Source organism: Homo sapiens, chromosome 17, assembly GCF_000001405.40.
Source record: "Homo sapiens chromosome 17, GRCh38.p14 Primary Assembly".
NCBI classification, from domain to species: domain Eukaryota; kingdom Metazoa; phylum Chordata; class Mammalia; order Primates; family Hominidae; genus Homo; species Homo sapiens.
The window spans coordinates 67,957,063-67,979,245 of NC_000017.11; the positions used below are offsets into that span (position 1 = coordinate 67,957,063).

General features: G+C 42.8%; 1 protein-coding gene and 1 pseudogene across 49 annotated transcripts in view; both read left to right on the top strand.

Moving 5' to 3' along the window:
- Positions 1–22,183, top strand: part of BPTF (bromodomain PHD finger transcription factor) — a 158,876-nt gene that overhangs the window by 131,560 nt on the left and 5,133 nt on the right. For 31 of the 49 annotated variants that reach the window (XM_005257150.4, XM_005257159.3, XM_005257153.4 and 28 more), the window contains 5 exons: positions 2,479–2,813; positions 6,271–6,444; positions 7,150–7,342; positions 9,510–9,594; positions 18,710–18,896. In XM_005257150.4, the coding sequence (XP_005257207.1) occupies positions 2,479–2,813; positions 6,271–6,444; positions 7,150–7,342; positions 9,510–9,594; positions 18,710–18,896 (974 nt within the window). The remainder of the gene's footprint in view (positions 1–2,478; positions 2,814–6,270; positions 6,445–7,149; positions 7,343–9,509; positions 9,595–18,709; positions 18,897–22,183) is intronic. The other 18 variants (XM_005257154.4, XM_005257161.4, XM_047435597.1 and 15 more) reach the window with 1 other exon arrangement.
- On the top strand, positions 20,636–20,910 carry RN7SL622P (RNA, 7SL, cytoplasmic 622, pseudogene; annotated as a pseudogene).

A 22,183-nucleotide genomic window follows, 5' to 3' on the forward strand; every position in this document is an offset into this window, starting at 1 on the left:
ACCTGAGGTCCGGAGTTCGAGACCAGCCTGACCAACATGGAGAAACCCCGTCTCTACTAAAAATACAAAAATTAGCCGGGCGTGGTGGCACATGCCTGTAATCCCAGCTACTCAGGAGGCTGAGGCAGGTGAATCACTTGAACCCAGGAGGCAGAGGTTGCTGTGAGCCGAGATCGCGCCATTGCACTCCAGCCTGGGCAACAAGAGCGAAACTCCGTCTCAAAAAAATAAAAAAATAAAAAAAATAAAGGAAACGTGGGCTAATTTATTTTCCTGAGAGACTATAAATCATGATGAAATGTTTTGGGAATATTTTTGGTACTTTAAATTATTGTAGAAATTTATAAATGTGTCGGATTTTGGCCAAAGTGGCTCACACCTGTAATCCAAGCACTTTGGGAGGCCAAGGTGGGCAGATCACCTGAGGGTAGGAATTGAAGACCAGCCTAGCCTACATGGTGAAACCCTGTCTCTAAAAGAATTTTTAAAAAAATTTTTAAGTCAGATTTTAAGAAATATTCTTATGGCCGGGTGTAAGTGGCTCATACCTGTCATCCCAGCACTTAGGGAGGCCCAGGCAGGCAGATCACTTGAGCTTAGGAGTTCAGTTACCTGAACAACACAGCAAGACTCCATCTCCTCAAAAAAATTAGCTGGGCATGGTAGTGAGCACCTGTAGCTACTTGAAGGGGTTGAGGTGGGAGGATCACTTGAGCCTGGCAGGTCAAGGCTACAGCAAGCCGTGTTTATGTCACTGCAGTCCAGGCAGGGTGACAAAGTGAGACACTGTCTCCACATAAGAAATACTCTTGGTCATAGCTATGATTTCTTTACACCAAGTTTGTTTGTGGATGCCAATCACAATGGGTTTGTTCCTAGGGTAATAAGGTTTGCTTTGATCATTTCCAAGAGTAAGTTGTACCACTAGATAGCAGAAGAGGTGTGCTTAAAAAGTATGGCAAATGCATATTGAGGAAGTAGTATGTTGGCCAGACACAGAGGCTCACGCCTGTAATCCCAACACTTTGGAAGGCCGAGGCAGGTCACTTGAGGTCAGGAGTTCGAGACCAGCCTGGCCAACATGGTGAAACCCCATCTCTACCAAAAATACAAAAATTAGCTGAGTTTGGTGGCACGTGCCTGTGGTCCTAGCTAGGTACTTGGGAGGCTGAGGTGGGAGGATCACTTGAGCCTGGGAGGTGAAGGGTACAGTGAGCCAAGACTGTGCCACTGCACTCTAGCCTGGGTGACAGAGTGAGACCCACTCTCAAAAAGAAAAAACAGAGTACAGTAAAGAAGCTGGCCAAAACCAAGATGGCGATGAAAGTGACCTCTGGTTGTCCTCACTGCTCATTAAAACTTTTTAAAAAATATATGAAAAGGGGCCAGGCAGTGTGGCTCACACCTGTAATCCCAGGACTTTGGAAGTCTAAGGTGGGTGGATTGCCTGAGGTCAGGAGTTCAACACCAGCCTAGCCAACATAATGAAACTCTGTCCCTACTAAAAATACAAAAAATTAGCTGGGTATGGTGGTGGGTGCCTGTAATCCTAGCTAGTTGGGAGGCTGAGGCAGGAGAATCACTTGAACCCAGGAGGTGGGGAGGTTGGAGTGCGCTGAGATTGTGCCACTGCACTCCAGCCTAGGCAACAAAGCACTTTGGGAGGCCGAGGCGGGTGGATCACCTGAGGTCAGGAGTTTGCAACCAGCCTGGCCAACATGGCGAAACCCCGTTTCTACTAAAAATACAAAAAAATTAGCTGGGTGTGGTGTTGCACGCCTGTAATCCCAGCTACTTGGGAGGCTGAGGCAGGAGAATTGCCTGAACCCAGGAGACATAAGTTGCAGTGAGCTGAGATTGCACCATTGACAAGAGCGAAACTGCATCTCAAAAAATATATATATGAAAAGAAAGTTATCTTTTAAAAAAAGAAAATAGTGCGTTATGTTGCACTACTCTCCCTGCAGTCTGAAATTCTAGACATAGGAGCATCATAATAAATAAGGCAAATCTGCCTCTTTTCTGCTTTATGCTGGTCAGACCACATTTTGAGTCTCAAGGCCAGTTCATGTCCAGTCTCACTGTAAGGACAGAGAGCAAGAGCAACTAGAAGAAAGCAGCCAGTGAGAGAGGATGCTTGAAATCACCTTCTGAGCAACCACAGAAAGAGCCCAGATGGGACAGGGGCAAGCCAGGAGGGACGCTCTTCCTAGCCACTTGGCTCATCTTTCAGTCAGCTCTCCTTTGAAGATAACTAGCAGCTTTCTAGTTGTTCTTACCTAGTCTTCATTTTGTTTCTAGTTGTCTTAGTTGGGTTTAAGATATAAGAAAACTCTTGTTTGCAACTAACTAAAACTCTCACGTTAGGCTGAACTGTGGAGCTACTTTGACAAGAGTGGGTAGTGTACCATCTTCTGGCCAGATCACACATTTACATGACTCTAATGATAGTCTTGTATTGTCTTTAATTGATAACAGGAAGAGCTGAAGAGAGACCTGAAAATTAAGAAAGAAAAAGACCTGATGCAGTTGGCTCAGGCCACAGCAGTAGCTGCACCCTGCCCCCCAGTGACACCAGCTCCTCCAGCCCCTCCAGCCCCTCCACCTTCACCTCCCCCTCCACCTGCTGTGCAACACACAGGCCTTCTGTCCACGCCCACCTTACCTGCTGCTTCCCAGAAGAGGAAGCGGGAAGAGGAAAAAGACTCCAGCTCAAAGTCCAAGAAAAAGAAAATGATCTCTACTACCTCAAAGGAAACTAAGAAGGACACAAAGCTTTACTGTATCTGTAAAACGCCTTATGATGAATCTAAGTGAGTAGATCTTTTTGAGCTCTAGTTTTTTGTCTTGAAAGTTTAGCTATTAAATTGGATTTTGAAGAAAATGAATATTTTGGGAGTGATATAAATGAAAATATTAAATTTAAGAGTAATGTTTCATCCATGGTCTTGCATGTGATATTCTTACCATTGACGCTAGTAAAGTAAAATTTGCTATTTCACGTGTTTGTGATTGTCCTTTGTTATATTCTTTTCTGTCAAAAACAAGCTTTCTGTTGCTCCTTTGCTTTCTCTTCTTCCCTCTGAATTAACTCCAAATCAGTGAGTAATTGATGTCTGGAGAAGGAGGTGTATTACTGTTGCCCAAAATGGAGAGCATCCTTTCTGGGATCTGTTCAAAGCCCTGCGAATACATGAAATCCTGGAAACCAGTTGAACATGAATGGTCAGAGGTTTTGAATTTGAGTGGTTCGGTTTCTTAATTGTTTTATTTTAAGCAGTTGTTTTTTTTTGTATTAAAATACTGCAACTCATATTTTTGTCAAAGTTTCCACTTTCTTATCAGAGACAAAAGCCAGAAAAATACAAAAAGTGTTCCTTTCCCCCATTCCTCAAGCATAACGTCCAACAGTTTGGCAGCTGGAAGCTGTTTTTGACAGTTGTGACTTGTATTTGGTGATATAAACAAGATTATAGAGGCACTAAACCGTAAATGTAGTTTCATTTTTTTGGTCATTACTATCATTTTACAAAATATTTAACTTCTACTTTGAACATTAAAATGTAGTCCAGCTTTTTAAAGCCACAGTTAACCACCATACTTTTTACAGGACCAAAAAGTCTGATTGTGCTTTAAAAACTGATCATTTAGAATCAATTAATTAGAATTAGGAATGCTTAATGCCTACCTTAAGTGGATACCTAATTGATTCCTAAAATAAAATTGTGGTCCCTTTAATGATGTTCAAGTTGCAACATTGAAGCTGCTTTGGTGGTGCTATCTAAATGATAATCTGTTTGCAAATGCCAAATGAAAACTCTTTGTTGGCAGATTGAGCTGTGTGCTGAATTAAACAGAAATCAATTTAGGCATCTTCACTTTTCATTATCTTATCTCATTGGAAATTATACATAATGTAAACAGTAGAACGTGATTCACTGATTTTTTTTTACTTTAGTTTAATACAAGTGTGCCTCACTTTAAGCAAAATATACTAAATGATTTCTGAAACAGGAGTTTCCTTACTTTTTCAGTTAAAAAGATTTGTTTACAGAATTTCTTTAAATAACAAGGCTTCTTTGGCCTGTTTAGAGTATTCAGATCACAGAAATTGATTTCACACACAACTTCTTTGAAATACCTACATTGCATAAAATGAGGCACACAGATACATGTGCCCATTCCATCGAGATTGCCTCATTATTTTGTGTTATTTTATATTTTTCATTTTGTCATTATTAACACTTTAGTATACCAGGTTCATTCACTCCCTATTTTAGTTGAGATGAGTTAGTGTTTCTAAGGAGTGTTTCGTAATCTCTTGTCCCAAACTAGGCTGGTTTGGGAATCCAGTGAGAGTGACTGAAAACTGAAATTCAAGTCCTGAACATCCTTCCAGAACACAGCCTATCACCCTGTGGAGATAACACACAAACTATCTCAGAGGACCCCCACCTGTGGCAGTGAAAATCATGTGAGAGTCATAGTTCAAAAGAAAAAAGTGCTGGGCACCGTGGCTCATACCTGTAATCTCAGCACTTTGGGAGGCCGAAGTGGGAGGATCACTTGAGCCCAGGTGTTTGAGACCAGTCTGGGCAACATAGAGAGACCCCGTCTGTACAAAAAATTGGCCAGGCGTGGTGGCTAATGCCTGTAATCCCAACACTTTGGGAGGCCGAGGTGGACGGATCACCTGAGGTCAGGAGTTCGAGATCAGCCTGGCCAACATGGCAAAACCCTGTCTCTACTAAAAATGCAAAAATTAGCCAGATGTGGTGGCACACACCTGTAATCCCAGCTACTCGGGAGGCCGAGTCAGGAGAATCGCTTGAACCCGGGAGACTGAGGTTGCAGTGAGCCGAGATCATGCCACTGTACTCCAGCCTGGGAGACAGAGCAAAGCTCTGTCAAAAAAAAAAAAGAAAAGAAAAAAAGCCGGGCCTGGTGGCGCATGCCTATAGCCCCAGCTACTCGGGAGGCTGAGGTGGGAGGATCACATGAGCCTGGGAGGTCCAGGCTGCAGGGGGCCGTGATCCTGCCCCTGCTCTGCAGCCTGGGCTATACAGCGAGACAAAAGAAAAAAAGAAAAAAGTTAGTGGTAACAGGATAAACTACATAACCATATATTATTCCTTCACATTCATGAAGCAGGTCAATTTGAAGCTTGAGGACGACTTCCATTCCTCTAGGTGAATCTGCCAAGAAATGCCTTGGTAGAACTAAGAGTGCCAATGGTATCAGCAAGGCCAGTCTGGTTCCCTGTGATTCATGGTAATTCTCACTATGACTTTGACATGGTGTTCCTACACAGTGCCTATCAACACTTATAGACACACTGTGTAAGCGTTTGTTACATTTACTTTTCCTTTTGTCATTAGGTCTTTTGTTACAGAGGCCACTCTGCTCTCCACAATCACACATTTACACAGCTCCCCCTTGCCAAGCAGTGTAGACCCTCACAGGCTTTGGATAACTATCCTTGCATCATTCTCCACACCTTGTCCCCGGTGTTGAACTGAAGCATCTCCTTCCACGTTCCCTGCCCGTTAGTTAGCCAGGCCACTGCCCACATTGTCACAAACATTATATTAACAGGAAAACTGGCCCGTGCCATATTCCATTATGAGAGGTTATTTTTAATTCGATTAAATTCCAATGTTTATTCAGAAAACCTGGTAGAGATTGAATTACTCTATGTACTTTCTTAGTTTTCTTCTTCATATCATATTTTGACCATTTATCTTCTACACCTGGCTGACCTGCATGTTCCTTGTAGTGTAACTTCTACTTGGTGTTTGCGCTTTGCTTTGTTTTCAAATTTAAATTGTGAGATACATTTTCAAACCTATCTAAGAAATAGCCCTGATATTGAAATGGCTTCTGTGGAATAGGTTTGACAGATGTAAGTCTTTGATTCTTTGGCTTTGGTTTTTGTGCCTGTTACAGTTTTACACACATTCATTCAGAGGAAGACATTACCATCAATGTGTTGTTTCTTTTTTCAAATTCCAGTATGTTTTTAAAGACCCATATTTCACTAAGCAGTGTACTTGTTGAAACTGATGTGAGTGACTTTATGTTTCCACATGTGATAGAGCATCAGATACTGGAGTTTGCCAGGAGTAGAATGGTTGGATTCAGAAATGTTTAGCTGACTCATTGCAGGAAGTTACACTGTAAAAAAGTGAATCAAGGCAGGGAAGACAGATTTAAGTACCATGCAGCTCAAAATGACAATTACATTGTCATTTTCATTGTGAATACTTTTAGGTTCTATATTGGCTGTGATCTTTGTACTAACTGGTATCATGGAGAATGTGTTGGCATCACAGAAAAGGAGGCTAAGAAAATGGATGTGTACATCTGTAATGATTGTAAACGGGCACAAGAGGGCAGCAGTGAGGAATTGTACTGTATCTGCAGAACACCTTATGATGAGTCACAGTGAGTTCTGATAAGAGCATCATATTTAATAATTTAGGAAGCCAAATTGCTCTGACTGGTTACTTATTTATTTTAAAATAAAAAGCAGATTTTTTTCTACATTTATTATACACTTACATTACAAATTCCTTTTCATTTTTCTCTTTTTCCCTTTTTACCTACCCTTCAAAATTTATCTTGCTTCATAGTGAATGTTTGAGACACATTGGGGAAAATGTGGTTTAATGGTAGATTTGATTCTTCAATATGTAACATAGAAATTAATGAGATTAAAATAGCCTGACTTGTTTGGACTTTATCAGTGTTTGAAATGGTGCTTTATTGTAGGTTAGAAAAACACTAATTTGGGTACAAGCTCTGAGACTCTGTTATTAGCTTATAGGATTTTGAACACCCATATGGTACAGTACTAGTTGAAAGATTTTTGGCTTTGTTTTCAGCTTTAAAATCAATTGAATGTTTCATATTTATCTTTAAATTGGTTCTCCAGTATTACACAGTGTTCTTATAAATTTTTTTACTGCTTGTTCTTAACATCAAAAATACTAAATTAATGAACTGGAATGTCAATCTTGAAAGTATTAAAACCATAATACTAAAACTATTTTATATCCCAGGGTTTAGCAAATTTTCAGGTGCATGCTTTATTATAAGTAACATCATCCCATGTGTTTTGAACTCACATTTCCATTTCGGATCTTGCAGATTTTATATTGGCTGTGATCGGTGTCAGAATTGGTACCATGGGCGCTGCGTTGGCATCTTGCAAAGTGAGGCAGAGCTCATTGATGAGTATGTCTGTCCACAGTGCCAGTCAACAGAGGATGCCATGACAGTGCTCACGCCACTAACAGAGAAGGATTATGAGGGGTTGAAGAGGGTGCTCCGTTCCTTACAGGTGAGACCCCTCTGTGTGCAGCATTTCAAAATGAAATCAGCCAGCATAATTTTGGAAGCATTTCTAGGATTTCAAGTTTCCAATCTTAGAATGATTATTTACTGACTCCCAGCTAGTCTAGTGAAGTGCCTAACAAACTGCAGTCCTTCACGTACCAGTGCCATGAGCTTTACCATATCCCCACACCACGTCAGCTTATCTCACACTCACAAGAGTGTTAACATGACTCACTTCTTTATACATTTTATTTTTAAGGAGACTTCCTCTCACCCCCATGGATTGAGAAGCAGTATGATTAGATTATAGTTGTTCTTGGCCGGGCATGGTGGCTCATGCCTGTAATCCCAGCACTTTGGGAGGCCAAGGTGGGCGGATCACAAGGTCAGGAGATCAGACCATCCTGGCTAACACGGTGAAACCCCGTCTCTACTAAAAATACAAAAAATTAGCTGGGCGTGGTGGCGGGCGCCTGTAGTCCTAGCTACTCCGGAGGTTGAGGCAGGAGAATGGCATGAACCCGGGAGGCAGAGCTTGCAGTGAGCCGAGATGGCGCCACTGCACTCCAACCTGGGCGAGAGTGTGAGACTCCATCGCAAAAAAAAAAAAAAAAAAAAAAGATTATAGTTATTCTTTTCCTTATGAAAAACAAAAAGGGGACTGGGCGTGGTGGCTAACACCTGTAATCCCAGCACTTGGGGAGGCTGAGGCGGGTGGATCACAAGGTCAGGAGTTCGAGACCAGACTGGCCAAAAGGATGAAACCCCATCTCTCTACTAAAAATACAAAAAATTAGCCAGGTGCGGTGGGGCGCACCAGTAATCCCAACTACTAGGGAGGCTGAGGTAGGAGAATAGCTTGAACCCGGGAGGCGGAGGTTGCAGTGAGCCAAGATCGAGCCACGGCACTCTAGCCCAGGTGACAGTGTGAGACTCTGTCTCAGAAAAAAAAGAAAAACGGGATCGAGATGGTTTGCAGGATTAGCAAGTGATAGAGATATATTGAAGACATAGAAAGCCAGTGTGGTTGCTCACACCTATAATCCCAGCACTGTGGGAGGCCAAGGCAGGAGGATCACTTGAGTCAATGAGTTAGAGACCAACCTGGGCAGCAAAGTGAGACCCCATCTCTACAAAAAAATTTTTTAAAAATCAGCCAGGTACGGTGGTGCACACCTGTAATCCCAGCTACTAAGGAGGCTGAGGCAGGAGAATCTCTTGAACCCGGGAGGCAGAGGTTGCAGTGAGCCAAGATCGAGCCACGGCACTCTAGCCCAGGTGACAGTGTGAGACTCCATCTCAGAACAAAAAGAATAACAGGATAGGGATGGTTTGCAGGATTATCAAGTGATACAGATGTACTGAAGACACAGAAAGCCAGTGTGGTTGCTCACATCTATAATCCCAACACTTTGGGAGGCCAGGGCAGGAGGATCACTTGAGTTGACGAGTTAGAGACCAACCTGGGCAACAAAGTGAGACCCCCACCTCTACAAAACATTAAAAAAAAATGAGCTGCACATGTTGGCACGCACTTGTAATCCCAGCTACTTGGGAGGCTGAGGTGAGAGGATCACTTGAGCACAGGAGGTTACAGTGAGCTATGATCACGCCACTCGACACCAGCCTGAATGACAGAGCGAGACCCTGTCTCAAAAAAGTGGGGGGAAATAAAAGGATATAGTGCACTGGATTGAAACTTTCTCCTGTCGTTATCATAATCAGAAGAATTGAAGTAACTAAAAAGAGAATCATAGTCTCAATGTGTGCTTGAATGTTATCTAACATCACGTCTCTGCTACCTCATCATTAACCAGCTGTGGTAATGATTCCACACTTTGAACCCATCCCACCTGTTGACAGAAGCGATTGCAATGCCAGCATCACTCAGTGACGGCTCATCATGTAGGGCCCAGAATACTGATTTTGTGACTTCTAAGCTTGTGCTCCATTCCCAACACAAAGTCTTCTGACCAGCCTTTGAGTACCATTATTGTAGAGGAAGCTCATCTTAGGTAACTATTACTAGAGCAGAAATCACTTAATATAAAATATTTCATGTATCAAATTTAAAACTCACTTTTGGGTTCATTGATGTAGTAACTCAACCAGGAAACTTAAATGGAATTAGTGTTTTCACTGACAATAATGATGCTGCTTTTTCATTATAGGCCCATAAGATGGCCTGGCCTTTCCTTGAACCAGTAGACCCTAATGATGCACCAGATTATTATGGTGTTATTAAGGAACCTATGGGTAAGTACATGAGTTGAATATGAAGTTTTTCAGAAGTCTCAGTGGATGTTTTATTATCCATAAAATTAATATCTTAGAATATTTTTAGCAAGGCTGGTGGGGGTATAAATTGGTATGGTCACTTTGGAGGGTAAATTGTTAGTATCTATTAAAGTTTAATTGTGGCCGGGTGCGGTGGCTCACGCCTGTAATCCCAGCACTTTGGGAGGCCGAGACAGGCGGATCATGAGGTCAGGAGATCGAGACTATCCTGGCCAACATGGTGAAACCCCATCTCTACTAAAAATACAAAAATTAGCTGGGCATGGTGGTGCATGCCTGTATTCCCAGCTACTCAGGAGGCTGAGGCAGGAGAATCGCTTGAACCAGGGAGGCGGAGGTTGCAGTGAACAGAGATCGCGCCACTGCACTCTAACCTGGCAAGAAAATGAGACTGTCTCAAAAAAATAAATAAATAAATAAAATAAAGTTTAATTGTGCATACTTTTTTTTTCTTTTTTTAATGAGACGATGTCTTGCTTTGTCGCCAGGCTGGAGTGTACTAGCGCGATCTCACATCACTACAACCTCCGCCTCCCAGGTTCAAGCAATTCTCCTGCCTCAGCCTCCCGAGTAGCTGGGACTACAGGCATGCACCACCATACCCAGCTAATTTTTATATTTTTTGTAGAGACAGGGTTTCACCATGTTGGCCAGGATGGTCTCAATCTCCTGACCTTGTGATCCGCTCCCCCTCGGCCTCCCCAAAGTGCTGGGATTACAAGTGTGAGCCACCATACCCGGCCAATTGTGCATATTCTTGAACCCAGCAGTTTCATTTCTTAGGATTTACATGTGCACAAGTATGTTCATTGTGGCAGTGTTTATAATTACAAAAACATTGGAAATGGCGGGGTGGCTCACGCTGGAATCCCAGCACTTCCGGAGGCCAAGGTGGATGGATCACCTGAGGTCAGGAGTTCGAGACCAGCCTGGCCAACATGGCGAAATACGTCTCTACAAAAATAGAAAAATTAGCCAGTTGTGGTGGCAGGCATTTGTAATCCCAGCTGCTAAGGAGGCTGAGGCACAAGAATCACTTGAACCCGGGAGGCAGAGGTTGCAGTGAGCTGAGATCACGCCACTGCATTCCAGCCTGGACGACAGAGCGAGACTCTGTCAAAAAAAAAAAAAAGATTGGAAATGAAATAAGTAGCCATCAATAGAGGAGTAGCTATATCAGATGGTGTCTGAGTGGAGTATTATGCAGCTTTATAAAAGAATGAATGAAATTAATGAATGGGTTGGGGTCTCTTTGATCCTCTCATCCTTCTCCATTTACTTCTTCTTTTTCTGAAGGAGAGTAAATTTTATGAACTAGAGAGAATACCCTCATTTCCCAGAAAAAAAAATGGTAATAGGAGCCACGAGTAATCGTATCAACACGAATGGCTACAAATGATTTTACTAAAAAATAATTTATCTGCAAAAGAAATTAGAAAAATTAAAACATAGCTAAAACCTTCCAAAGGATCACTTACCACTAATGAAAGAATTATGTTCCAAAAGCCAGCTAAGCATTTTTTTTAATGAGAAGAGTTTGTGTTTCATGGCAGCATGAAAGAGGGGGAAACATGAAGTGGAAATAAATGAAAACTATCTCTGAAAAATAAACGTAATGAAGTAGTTATTATCTCTGTTCTCCTGATGTTGAAAATAGAAGGAGTTAATCATTGTACATATTTCAAATTTGGGTAGTCGCCTTTGAGAAAGTACCTGGGATGTTTACTAAAATAATAAGTTAATTATGCTGGTAATAGAAGTAATAATACAAGTTAATGGTAGAAAATTCATAAAATAAGGTCAGGTGCGGTGGCTCACGCCTGTAATACCAGCACTTTGGGAGGCTGAGGTGGGTGGATCACGAGGTCAGGAGATCGAGACCATCCTGGCTAACACGGTGAAACCCCGTGTTAGCCCGTCTCTACTAAAAATACAAAAAATTAGCCGGGTGTGGTGGCGGGCACCTGTAGTCCCAGCTACTCAGGAGGCTGAGGCAGGAGAATGACGTGAACCCGGGAGGTGGAGCTTGCAGTGAGCCAAGATTGTGCCACTGCGCTCTAGCCTGGCTGACAGAGCGAGACACGTCTCAAAAAAAAAAAAGAAAGAAAATTTAGAAAATAAATACTATACAAAATTAGCCCGGCGTGGTGGCACATGCCTATAATCCTAGCTGCTCGGGAGGCTGAGGCGGAGAATTGCTTGAACCTGGAAGGCAGAGGTTGCATTGAGCCGAGATCGCGCCATTGCACTCCAGCCTGGGTAACAAAAGCGAAACTCCATCTCAAAAAAATAAAAAATAAACAAAATAAATAAAGAAGATAGGCCAGGCACAGTGGCTCATGCCTGTAACCCCAGCACTTTCACAGGCCGAGACAAGCAGATGGCTTGAGCCCAGGAGTTCAAGACCAGCCTGGACAACATGGCAAAACCCTGTCTCTCCAAAAAAAATTTTTTTGAATCAGCCAAGGCCAGGCGCAGTGGCTCATGCCTATAATCCCAGCACTTTGGGAGGCTGAGGCAGGCAGATTGCTTGAGATCAGGAGTTCAAGACCAGCCTGGCCAACATGGTGAAACCTCATCTCTACTACAAAAAAAAAATACAAAAATTAGCTGGGTGTGGTGGCGGGTGCCTGTACCCAGCTACTAAGGAGGCTGAGGCACAAAAATCAGTTGAACCTGAGAGGCAGAGGTTGCTGTGAGACAAGATCGCGCCACTGCACTCCAGCCTGGGCAACAGAGAAAAACTCTGTCTCCAAAAAAAAAAAAAAAAAAAAAAAGAGATAGCCATTGCTTTTGGTGTGTTCTTGTATGCATGGGTGTTAAAATTCATATCATACAGTGAATACATTTTCCTATGTAAATCTTCTTCGAAAACCCATGATTTTAATGGGTTTTTATGGTCCATTAGTTGAATATACCTTAGCTTATTTAACCAAAATTATTTTCTTGAAGACCTGGTTTTCCTGTTTGTTTTTGTTTTTTTTAATACCAAGATAAGCCCCAAATGGTGGTTCCCCCAGCACTTTGGCCAAGGCAGGTGGATAGCTTGAGCCCAGGATTTTAATACCAGCCTGGGCAACATAGTGAGATCCTGTCTTTACAAAAAAACAAAAAATGCTCAGGAGGCTGAGGCAGGAGAATCGCTTGAACCCAGGAGGCAGAGGTTGTGGTAAGCCAAGATCGCACCATTGCACTCCAGCCTGTGGAACAAGAGTGAAACTCCGTGTCAAATAAATAAATAAAAACAAAAAATGGCTGGGCGCAGTGGCTCATGCCTGTAATCATAGCACTTTGGGAGGCCGAGGCAGGCAGATCACCTGAGGTTGGGAGTTCAAGACCAGCCTGACCAACATGGCGAAACCCTGTCTCTACTAAAAATACAAAAGTAGCCAGGCGTGGTGGCACATGCCTGTAATCCCAGCTACTTAGGAGGCTGAGACAGGAGAATTGCTTGAACCTGGGAGGTGGAGGTTGCGGTGAGCTGAGATCACGCCATTGCACTCCTCCAGCCTGGGCAGCAAGAGTGAAACTCCATCTCAAAAAAAAAAAAAAATTTAGCCAGGCATGGTGCCTCATGCCTGTGGTCCCAGCCCGAGAGACTGAGGCAGGACGATCACTTCAGCTGGGAGGTGGAGGCTGCAGCGAGCCATAATCGCACTACTGTACTCGAGCCTAGGCAACAAGCGAGACCTTGTCCCACAAACGTAATAATAAAATACATATATACATACATACTAAGTTAAACATAATCTCCTATATCTCCTAAGTAGGTACATAAAGATAATAATATAGATCTCTAAAACGTATTGTTGGGAAAAGAAGTGAAAGTTACAGAGCAGTACCCAGATTTTAAGCAGTAAACATTTATTTTCTAAGAGTACCTAAATGTGTTTAGAAATGCATAGAAAATGTCTGGAACAATATAGACTAAATTGAAAATAGTAATTTTCTTTGAGGATATAAGGGAACCAACAAAATCAGCAACTTTTATATTCTTAAATAGAAATAGGTTTAAATGAATTATGTTTGCTAATGTATTTTGTAAACTTAATACTTTTTCACATCAGCTGTTATAGACCTACATCATTTTAAATTATATGAAATTAAAATTAACAGCCCCCATCAATAGATTTTTTTATTGTGTGTAGTTTTTGCTAGTATAAACAACATGCCACTGGACATCTTTGTTTATACATCTGCCTGTACTTGTTTGTTCTAAGAAAACAGTCTCCAGGTGAAAGGGTCTAAGTACATTTTAGGCTTTGCTGTTGTTGTTCTGCCCAGGCTGGAGTGCAGTGGCGCCATCACCAGCTGACTGCATCCTCGTCCTCCCAGGTACAGCTGATTCTCCCACCTCAGCCTTCTGAGTAGCGGGGATGTAGTATACTTTTTTTGTTTGTTTGTTTTTTGAGATGGACCGCCCAGGCTGGAGTGCAGTGGCGCTATCTCGGCTCACTGCAACCTCAGCCTCCCGGGTTCAAGCAATTCTCCTGCCTCAGCCTTCTGAGTATCTGGGATTACAGGCATGCGCCACCACACCCAGCTAATTTTTGTATTTTTGGTAGAATCAGGGTTTCACCATGTTGGCCAGGCTGATCTCGAACTCCTGACCTCAAGGGATCCACCTGCCTTGCCCTCCCAAAGTGCTGGGATTATAGGCGTGAGCCACCGCACCTGGCCCATTTTAGGCTTTTTTTTAAAAACAATGTCCAGGCCAGGCAAGGTGGCTCATCACTGTGACACCTCCACACTTCAGCATGGGCTACAAAGTGAGACGCTGTCTTTAAAAAAAAAAAAAAAGAGTTATTTTTAAATTACACTTTAGGGCCGGGCACGGTGGCTCATGCCTGTAATCCCAGCCCTTTGGGAGGCTGAGGCAGGCGGATCATGAGTTCAAGAGTTCAAGACCAGCCTGGCCAACATGGCGAAACCCCGTCTCTACTAAAAATACCAAAATTAGTCGGGCATGGTGGTGTGTGCCTGTAATCCCAGCTACTCAGGAAGCTGAGTCAGGAGAATTGCTTGAACCCAAGAGGCAGAGGTTGCAGTGAGCCAAGATCGTTGCGTTGCAGTGATCTGAGATCATGCCACTGCACTTCAGCCTGGGCAATAGAGTGAGACTCCATCTCAAAAAAAAAAAAAAAAAGAGAAGAAAAAAATTACACGTTAGCAAATTGAACCAGCTTCCACTAATAGTGTATATCTATGGCATTCTGTCTGCGCTATTGGAAAACACTGAGTATTATCACTCTTTTGAGGGGTATATTTTTTGTCTTTGAGAATATTTATTTCAAAAGTAGTGTGTTTTATGGTGTACAAATGCAGATGTTACAGAGATGTAAAATGTAATATTTACCACTACTCCTATAGTGTCCCCTATAGTTAACCTCTGTTAATAGGCCAGTGTTACCATTTTTAATTTCTGCTAATTTGGCAAAGAAAGTGTTTTTATGTAAGAGTTTCCTATTCACATATTTCTTATATTTTTCTCTCGAGATATTTGGATTGTTATCAGTATTATTTAAGGGCTTTTATTTTATTATTTTATTTTTTTTGAGAAGGAATCTCACTCTGTCACCCAGGCTGGAGTGCAGTGTCGTGATCTTGAATCACTGCAACCTCTGCCACCCGGGTTCAACCGATTCTTCCACCTCAGCCTCCCAAGTAGCTGGGATTACAGGCGCCCACCACCATACCTACCCAGCTAATTTCTGTATTTTTAGTAGAGACGGGGTTTCACCATGTTGGTTGACCAGGCTGGTCTCGAACTCTTGACCTCAGGTAATCCGTCCGCCTCTGCCTTCCAAAGTGCTGGGATTACAGATGTGAGCCACTGCGTCTGGCTATTTAAGGGCTATTTATATACTAAAGACAAGTAAAAGTTTCATAGATTTTTTGGCATATGGTAGTTTTTAACATTTTTTGGAGTCATATCTATTAATCATTATAAACTCAGCCTTTGGTGTCATGCTTGGAGTCTTTTTCCTCCTCCATAATATATACTCACCTATGTGTTCTCCTAGTACCTTAAGGGATACCTAATTAACTTGGAACCATACAATGTCCAAGCATTATTCACATACTTTATTAAAATGAAAATTAGTCAAGCAGTAAGTAACCAGAACATAATATAAGTATGAACCAAGAATGTCCTAGTGTGATGTGTGCGTTCTTTCCTGAACACCTTACATGAACCTACAGCATCGATGTGCCAAGTCTTGGAATCCAACTCTGTGTGTTTTCACAGTTCTTCACATTTACACATTTTTTTTCTTTAACTGCATAAACTGGAGCTTTCAAAGAGTAGTGTGTCTGTGTGTGTACTAAAATATATATATTTATATATATATATATTTTATATATATATAAATATATATATAATATATATATATAAGGCCAGGCACGGTGGCTCACGCCTGTAATCCCAGCACTTTGGGAGGCCGAGGCAGGAGGATCACGAGGTCAGGAGATTGAGACCATCCTGGCTAACACGGTGAAACCCCGTCTCTACTAAAAATACAAAAAATTAGCAAGGCATGGTGGCAGATGCCTGTAGTCCTAGCTACTCCAGAGGCTGAGGCAGGAGAATGGCCTGAACCCGGGAGGTGGAGCTTGCAGTGAGCTAAGATCCCGCCACTGCACTCCAGCCTGGGCGACAGAGCGAGACTGTCTCAAGAAAAAAAAATAAAATATATATATAACAAAATTTGCCATTTTAATCATTTTAATAAACCCACAATTATCTTGGCATATAATGAGAGAGAATTTTTTTTTCCAGATTTGTAGGCAGTTGCCCCAAACCCTTTTTTTGTTTTTGTTTTTTGAGACATTGTCTGGCTCTGTTGCACAAGCAGTGGTGAGTGCAGTGGTGCGATCTTGGCTCACTGCAGCCTCCACCTCCTGGGTTCAAGGGATTCTCCCCTCAGCCTCCCTAGTAGCTGGGATTAAAGGCATGTGCCACCATGCCTGGCTTATTTTTGCATTTTTAGTAGAGACAGGGTTTCGCTGTGTTGGCCAGGGTGGTCTCGGAACTCATGACCTTGGATGATACGCCCACCTCGGCCTCCCAAACTGCTAGGATTACAGACGTGAGCCACCCCAGCCGCAACCTCATTTATGAATGAACTCCTTTCCCTACTGACTTGAAGGGACACCCTTAATATATGTGAAATTCTTATACTAGATACAGTTAAATCTGTTCCTGTTTTGAACTTGTCTGCGTTAGTGTTTGTGTTGTTCTGCATGCTGCCACACTTTTCATTACCACAGCTTTAGAATATTTTTTAATGTCTGACAGATAAGATTATCTCATTACTTTTCAGATATTTCTTAGGTATTCTAGTACTTTTATTTATTGGTTGAACTTCCAAATCACTTTCAAATTCTAAAATATTCACTAACCTTTAGTTTGAAATGTGTTGTCTGTCTACCCTAGATTGATTGGAGATTACTGGCCTTTCACTCTCTCAGATATTTATGTCAAATTGTATACAGAATTTTATTTCAAACACGTCGTTCTCCTAGGATCAATGTTGTTTCAGATAGATTTATTTCAGTCAGTACATTCCAAAGCAGTTGCCTGCTCTACAGCAAAAAAAAAAACAAACTTGTTTTCCTGTGCTCTCACGCTACGGTCAACGTGGGAGAATTCTGTTTGGCGGCCTCTGGTCAGCAAGAAGTGGGTGGGGATTTCTCCCCATGAACAACCAATCCAGCCTCAGACCCCACCTGAGTGTCTTCTAATTCAATTCAATTCAATTCTGACACTATCTACCTGAAGATAGGGTTAGATCCCACAGGTTGGGTACTCAGTCCCCAAGATTACCCCCTCTTCAGATGCCGGTCGCCAGCCCCAGGTGGTTTTACCTGCACGTCTGACCATCTGGCTATAAATCAGGGTTCCCACAAACCTCTCCTAAGGTTCAGTAATTTGCAGGAGCAGCTCACAGAACTCAGGGAAACACCTACTTAGGCTTACCGGTTTCTCAAGGACACTGCAAAGGATTCCGATGAACACCAGGTGGAGAAGATGCACGGGGCAATGCTGTGGGGAGGGGTGTGGAGTCTCCCATGCCCTCTCTGGGCACACCACCTGACAGTTGCCTCCACATGTTCAGCTGTATCAGGAAGCTCTCCGAACCCGGTCCTTCTGGGTTTTTAGGAAAGCTTCATTACGTAGGCATGAGTGATTACATCATTGGCCATTGGTGATCAGCTTAACCTTCAGCCCCTCTCCCCTTCCGGAGGTTGGGGGATGGGACTAAAAGTCCCAACCCTCCAATCCTGACTAGGTCTTTCCGGTGACCAGCCCCAATCCTGAAGCTATCTAGGGAATTCCAACCACCAGTCATTAACATATAAAAGAAACTCTTATCACTCCGGAGATTCCAACCGTGTTAGGAGCTAAGTGTCAGGAAATGGGGACAAAAACCAAATATATATTTCACAATATCACACCCATCTATCACCATAATGATTTTCTCCTTTCTGCATATTGCCTGTACTATTACATACTAATATTCGTATCAGCTGATATTTTTCCCTTACATTTAAGTGGACACTTATCAATCCAGTCATGAATGGTAAGACAGTATCACTTTGTCACAAATAAAAGGTAACAATAAAAATAAAGCAAAATGATGTTATTAAAGTCTAATACCAGGATCATAAAGCCACTAGTACAGAGATTTTGTTCTTAATTCTGGATTCCCATCTTTGTACATACACTAAATGGTTTGCATGTAAAAATGCATTATACTTAGATATGCATAGAGCATGTCGGTGTGTTTCCTTGATTTCAAACCATTTGAATGAAGAACGGTTCTGTGCAGTTACCTGAAAGTAAAAGAACCTTAACAGCAACCCGGATTTATATTTTAGAACCTCAATCAGAAACAAAATTGGAAAAGTACTCTTTTGTTCTTTATGAATTGCAAAATAACCTCCAGGGTGAACCAGCCTGGCTCCAGGACTGCTTGCACAGTAAACATATATACTTGTTAGAACTTCGGAGAATATTCACATTGGAAAAACCTTAAAGCTCTGAAAATGTTTTACATTTTGTGTTTTTAAGACCTTGCCACCATGGAAGAAAGAGTACAAAGACGATATTATGAAAAGCTGACGGAATTTGTGGCAGATATGACCAAAATTTTTGATAACTGTCGTTACTACAATCCAAGTGACTCCCCATTTTACCAGTGTGCAGAAGTTCTCGAATCATTCTTTGTACAGAAATTGAAAGGCTTCAAAGCTAGCAGGTGAGCAGATGGGTTCGGTATTCTGAATTAATTCAACTCTTCACACTCTTTATACTATTCTGTCTAACGATTCAACCAGTGCAGTTTATGGTAAATTTAACCTTAAATATCTTTAAAAAAAAAATAAATAAATCAAGACTCCAGGGTTATGATCTACTGCCAAGGAGAAGTGGACAAATTGCTGGGTTTGTTGTTGATCTACTTAAAGTCTTTTTTTGAAAATTCAAGAAGTGGCCGGGCATAGTGGCTCACGCCTGTAATCCCAACACTTTGGGAGGCCAAGGCAGGCAGATCACCTGAGGTCAGGAGTTCGAGCCCAGACTGGCCAACATGGGGAAACCCCGTCTCTACCAAAAATACAAAAATTAGCCAGGTGTGGTGACGCACGCATGTAATCTCAGCTACTTGGGAGGCCGAGGCACAAGAATCACTTGAACTTGGGAGGCGGAGGTTGCAGTGAGCCAAGATCACACCACTGCATTCCAGCCTGGGTGACAATGAGACTCTCACAGGAGGTGGGGGGAACATCCCAGCCTTGTCAACATAATGAGACCATGTCTCTACAAAAATTTAAAAAATTAACCAGGCATAGTGGCATGCACCTGTAGTCCTAGCTACTCAGGAGGCTGTGACAGGACGATCACTTGTGCCCAGGAGTTCAAGGCTGCCGTGAGCTGTGATTACACCACTGCTCTCCAACCTGAGTGACAGAGTGAGACCCTGTCTCAAAAAAAAAAAAAAAAAAAAAAAAAAAAAATAAGAATAAAAGAAGAATTTCCTGAGCTGATGATTGTCACAGGACTTTAAATTCTAGCAGAATAAATTCCTTCACTCAGCAAATAACTTTTGAGAACCTGATGTGTGCCTGATACTGGGAATTTAGCAGTGAATAAATTAAAGCCCCTGCACTCTATGAGGGGTGGGTGGAGCAAGGGGGACAGTTGATAAACATCATAAACCAGGTAGACAAATGGAAAAAGACTCACCCCTACATACATCGCTATAAAATTTCCAAATGCTAAGAATAAAAGAAACTCTTAGATAAAACCGACAATCTATAAAACAAGAATTAGATTGGTGTCAGATTTTTCTGCTGTGACATTTAGTGCTAGAAGATTATGGAAGAATAAATCTAAAAGTTTAAGAAAAAATGATTGTCAGCCTAGAAGTCTGTGCAGCCAGTCAAGTTTAGAGGCAGAATAAATATATTTTCAGTCATGTGAGGACTCAGGGCATCCTTTCTTGGCAGGTATTTTTAAAAAGTGTGTGCTATTGGCCAGGCATGGTGGCTCACGCCTGTAATCCCAGCACTTTGGGAGGCCAAGGTGGGTGGATCACTTGAGGTCAGCAGTTCAAGACCATCCAGACCAACATGGCAAAACCCCATCTCTCCTTAAAATACAAAAATTAGGCAGGCATAATGGTGCACGCCTGTAGTCTCAGCTACACAGGAGGCTGAGGCATGAGAATCGCTTGAACCCGGGAGGCACAGGCTGCAGTGAGCTGAGATTGCGCCACTGCATTCCAGCCTTGGTGTCAGAGTGAGACTCCATCTCAGAAGAAAAAAAAAAAGTGTGCTGTCAAAAATAAGGAAACAAATTTTTTCCTTTTAATAATGTATCTTCCTGTAATCCCAGCACTTTGGGAGGCCGAGGCGGGCGGATCACGAGGTCAGGAGATGGAGACCATCCTGGCTAACACGGTGAAACCCCGTCTCTACTAAAAATACAAAAAAATTAGCTGGGCGTGGTGGCACATGCCTGTAATCCCAGCTACTAGGGAGGCTGAGGCAAGAGAATCACTTGAATCTGGGAGGCGGAGCTTGCTGTGAGCCGAGAAGGCGCCACTGCACTCCAGCTTGGGCGACAGAGGGAGATTCCATCTCAAAAAAAAAAAGTATCTTTTTTTTTTTTGAGACGGAGTTTCACTCTTGTTGCCCAGGCTGGAGTGCAATGGCGCGATCTCGGCTCACCACAAGCCCCACCTCCCGGATTCAAGTGGTTCTCTTGCCTCAGCCTCCCTAGTAGCTGGGATTACAGGCATGTGCCACCACGCCCGGCTAATTTTGTATTTTTAGTAGAGACCTGGTTTCTCCATGTTGGTGAGGCTGGTCTCAAACTCCCGACCTCAGGTGTTCTGCCCACCTCGGCCTCCCAAAGTGCTGGGATTACGGGCGTGAGCCACCGCACCCGGCCATGATGTATCTTTTTATTTAGGGACAGGGTCTTGCTATGACCCAAGCTAATCTTGAACTCCTGAGCTCAAGCGATCCTCCCACCAGCCTTGGCCTCCCAAAGTGCTGGGGCTGTGAACCACTGTGCTGGGCCAGAAATATATATATATATATATATTTTTTTTGAGACAGAGTCTCACTCTGTTGCCCAGGCTGGAGTTCAGTGGCACAATCTCGGCTCGCTGCAACATCTGCCTCCTGGGTTCAAGCAATTCTGCTGCCTCAGCCTCCCAAGTAGCTGGGATTACAGGCAGCCACCACCATGCCCAGCTGATTTTTGTATTTTTAGTAGAGACGGGGTTTCACCATGTTGACCAAGCCGGTCTCAAACTGCAGACCTCGTGATCCGCCTGCCTCAGCCTCCCAAAGTGCTGGGATTACAGATGTGAGCCACCGTGCCCGGCCAGAAATTTTTGTTTATTTGAGTTCAGAAAACAAGTGGTTCAGGAAAGCAATGAGAATTACTCTGACCCAAGATGACATTTATACAGCAGGCTGTAAAATGTCAGCAGACCAAATCCTAGCAGGAGAATGGAGCACTCCCCAGAGGCTCAGTAGAGCAAGAAAATGACTCATACATTAGATAATTTGTTTAAGACAGAAAAACATAAGGCTATGATTAAGCCAAAGAACGTCAGGGATAAAAATGAAAGGCAATTAGAAACGCCACTAAAAACAGAAAGTTGTGTAAGTGTACCCTGTTAGCTGGGCACGGTGGCTCATGCCTGTAATCCCAACACATTGAGAGGCTGAGGCAAGAGGATGCTTGAGCCCAGGAATTCTAGACCAGCCTGGGCAACATGAGGAAACCCCATCTTTACAAAACACAAAAATTAGCCAGGCATGGTGATGTACACCTGTGGTCCCAGCTGCTTCAGAGGCTGAGGTGGGAGGATTGAGCCCATGAGGTAGACGCTGCAGTGAGCCATCTTCATGCCACTGCACTCCAGCCTGGAAGACACAACAAGACCCTGTCTCAAAAAAAAAAAAAAAAAAAAAGGCCCTGTTAGCAAAGGACTAGGTGCTACAGAGAAAAATATTTACATTTTCGTAG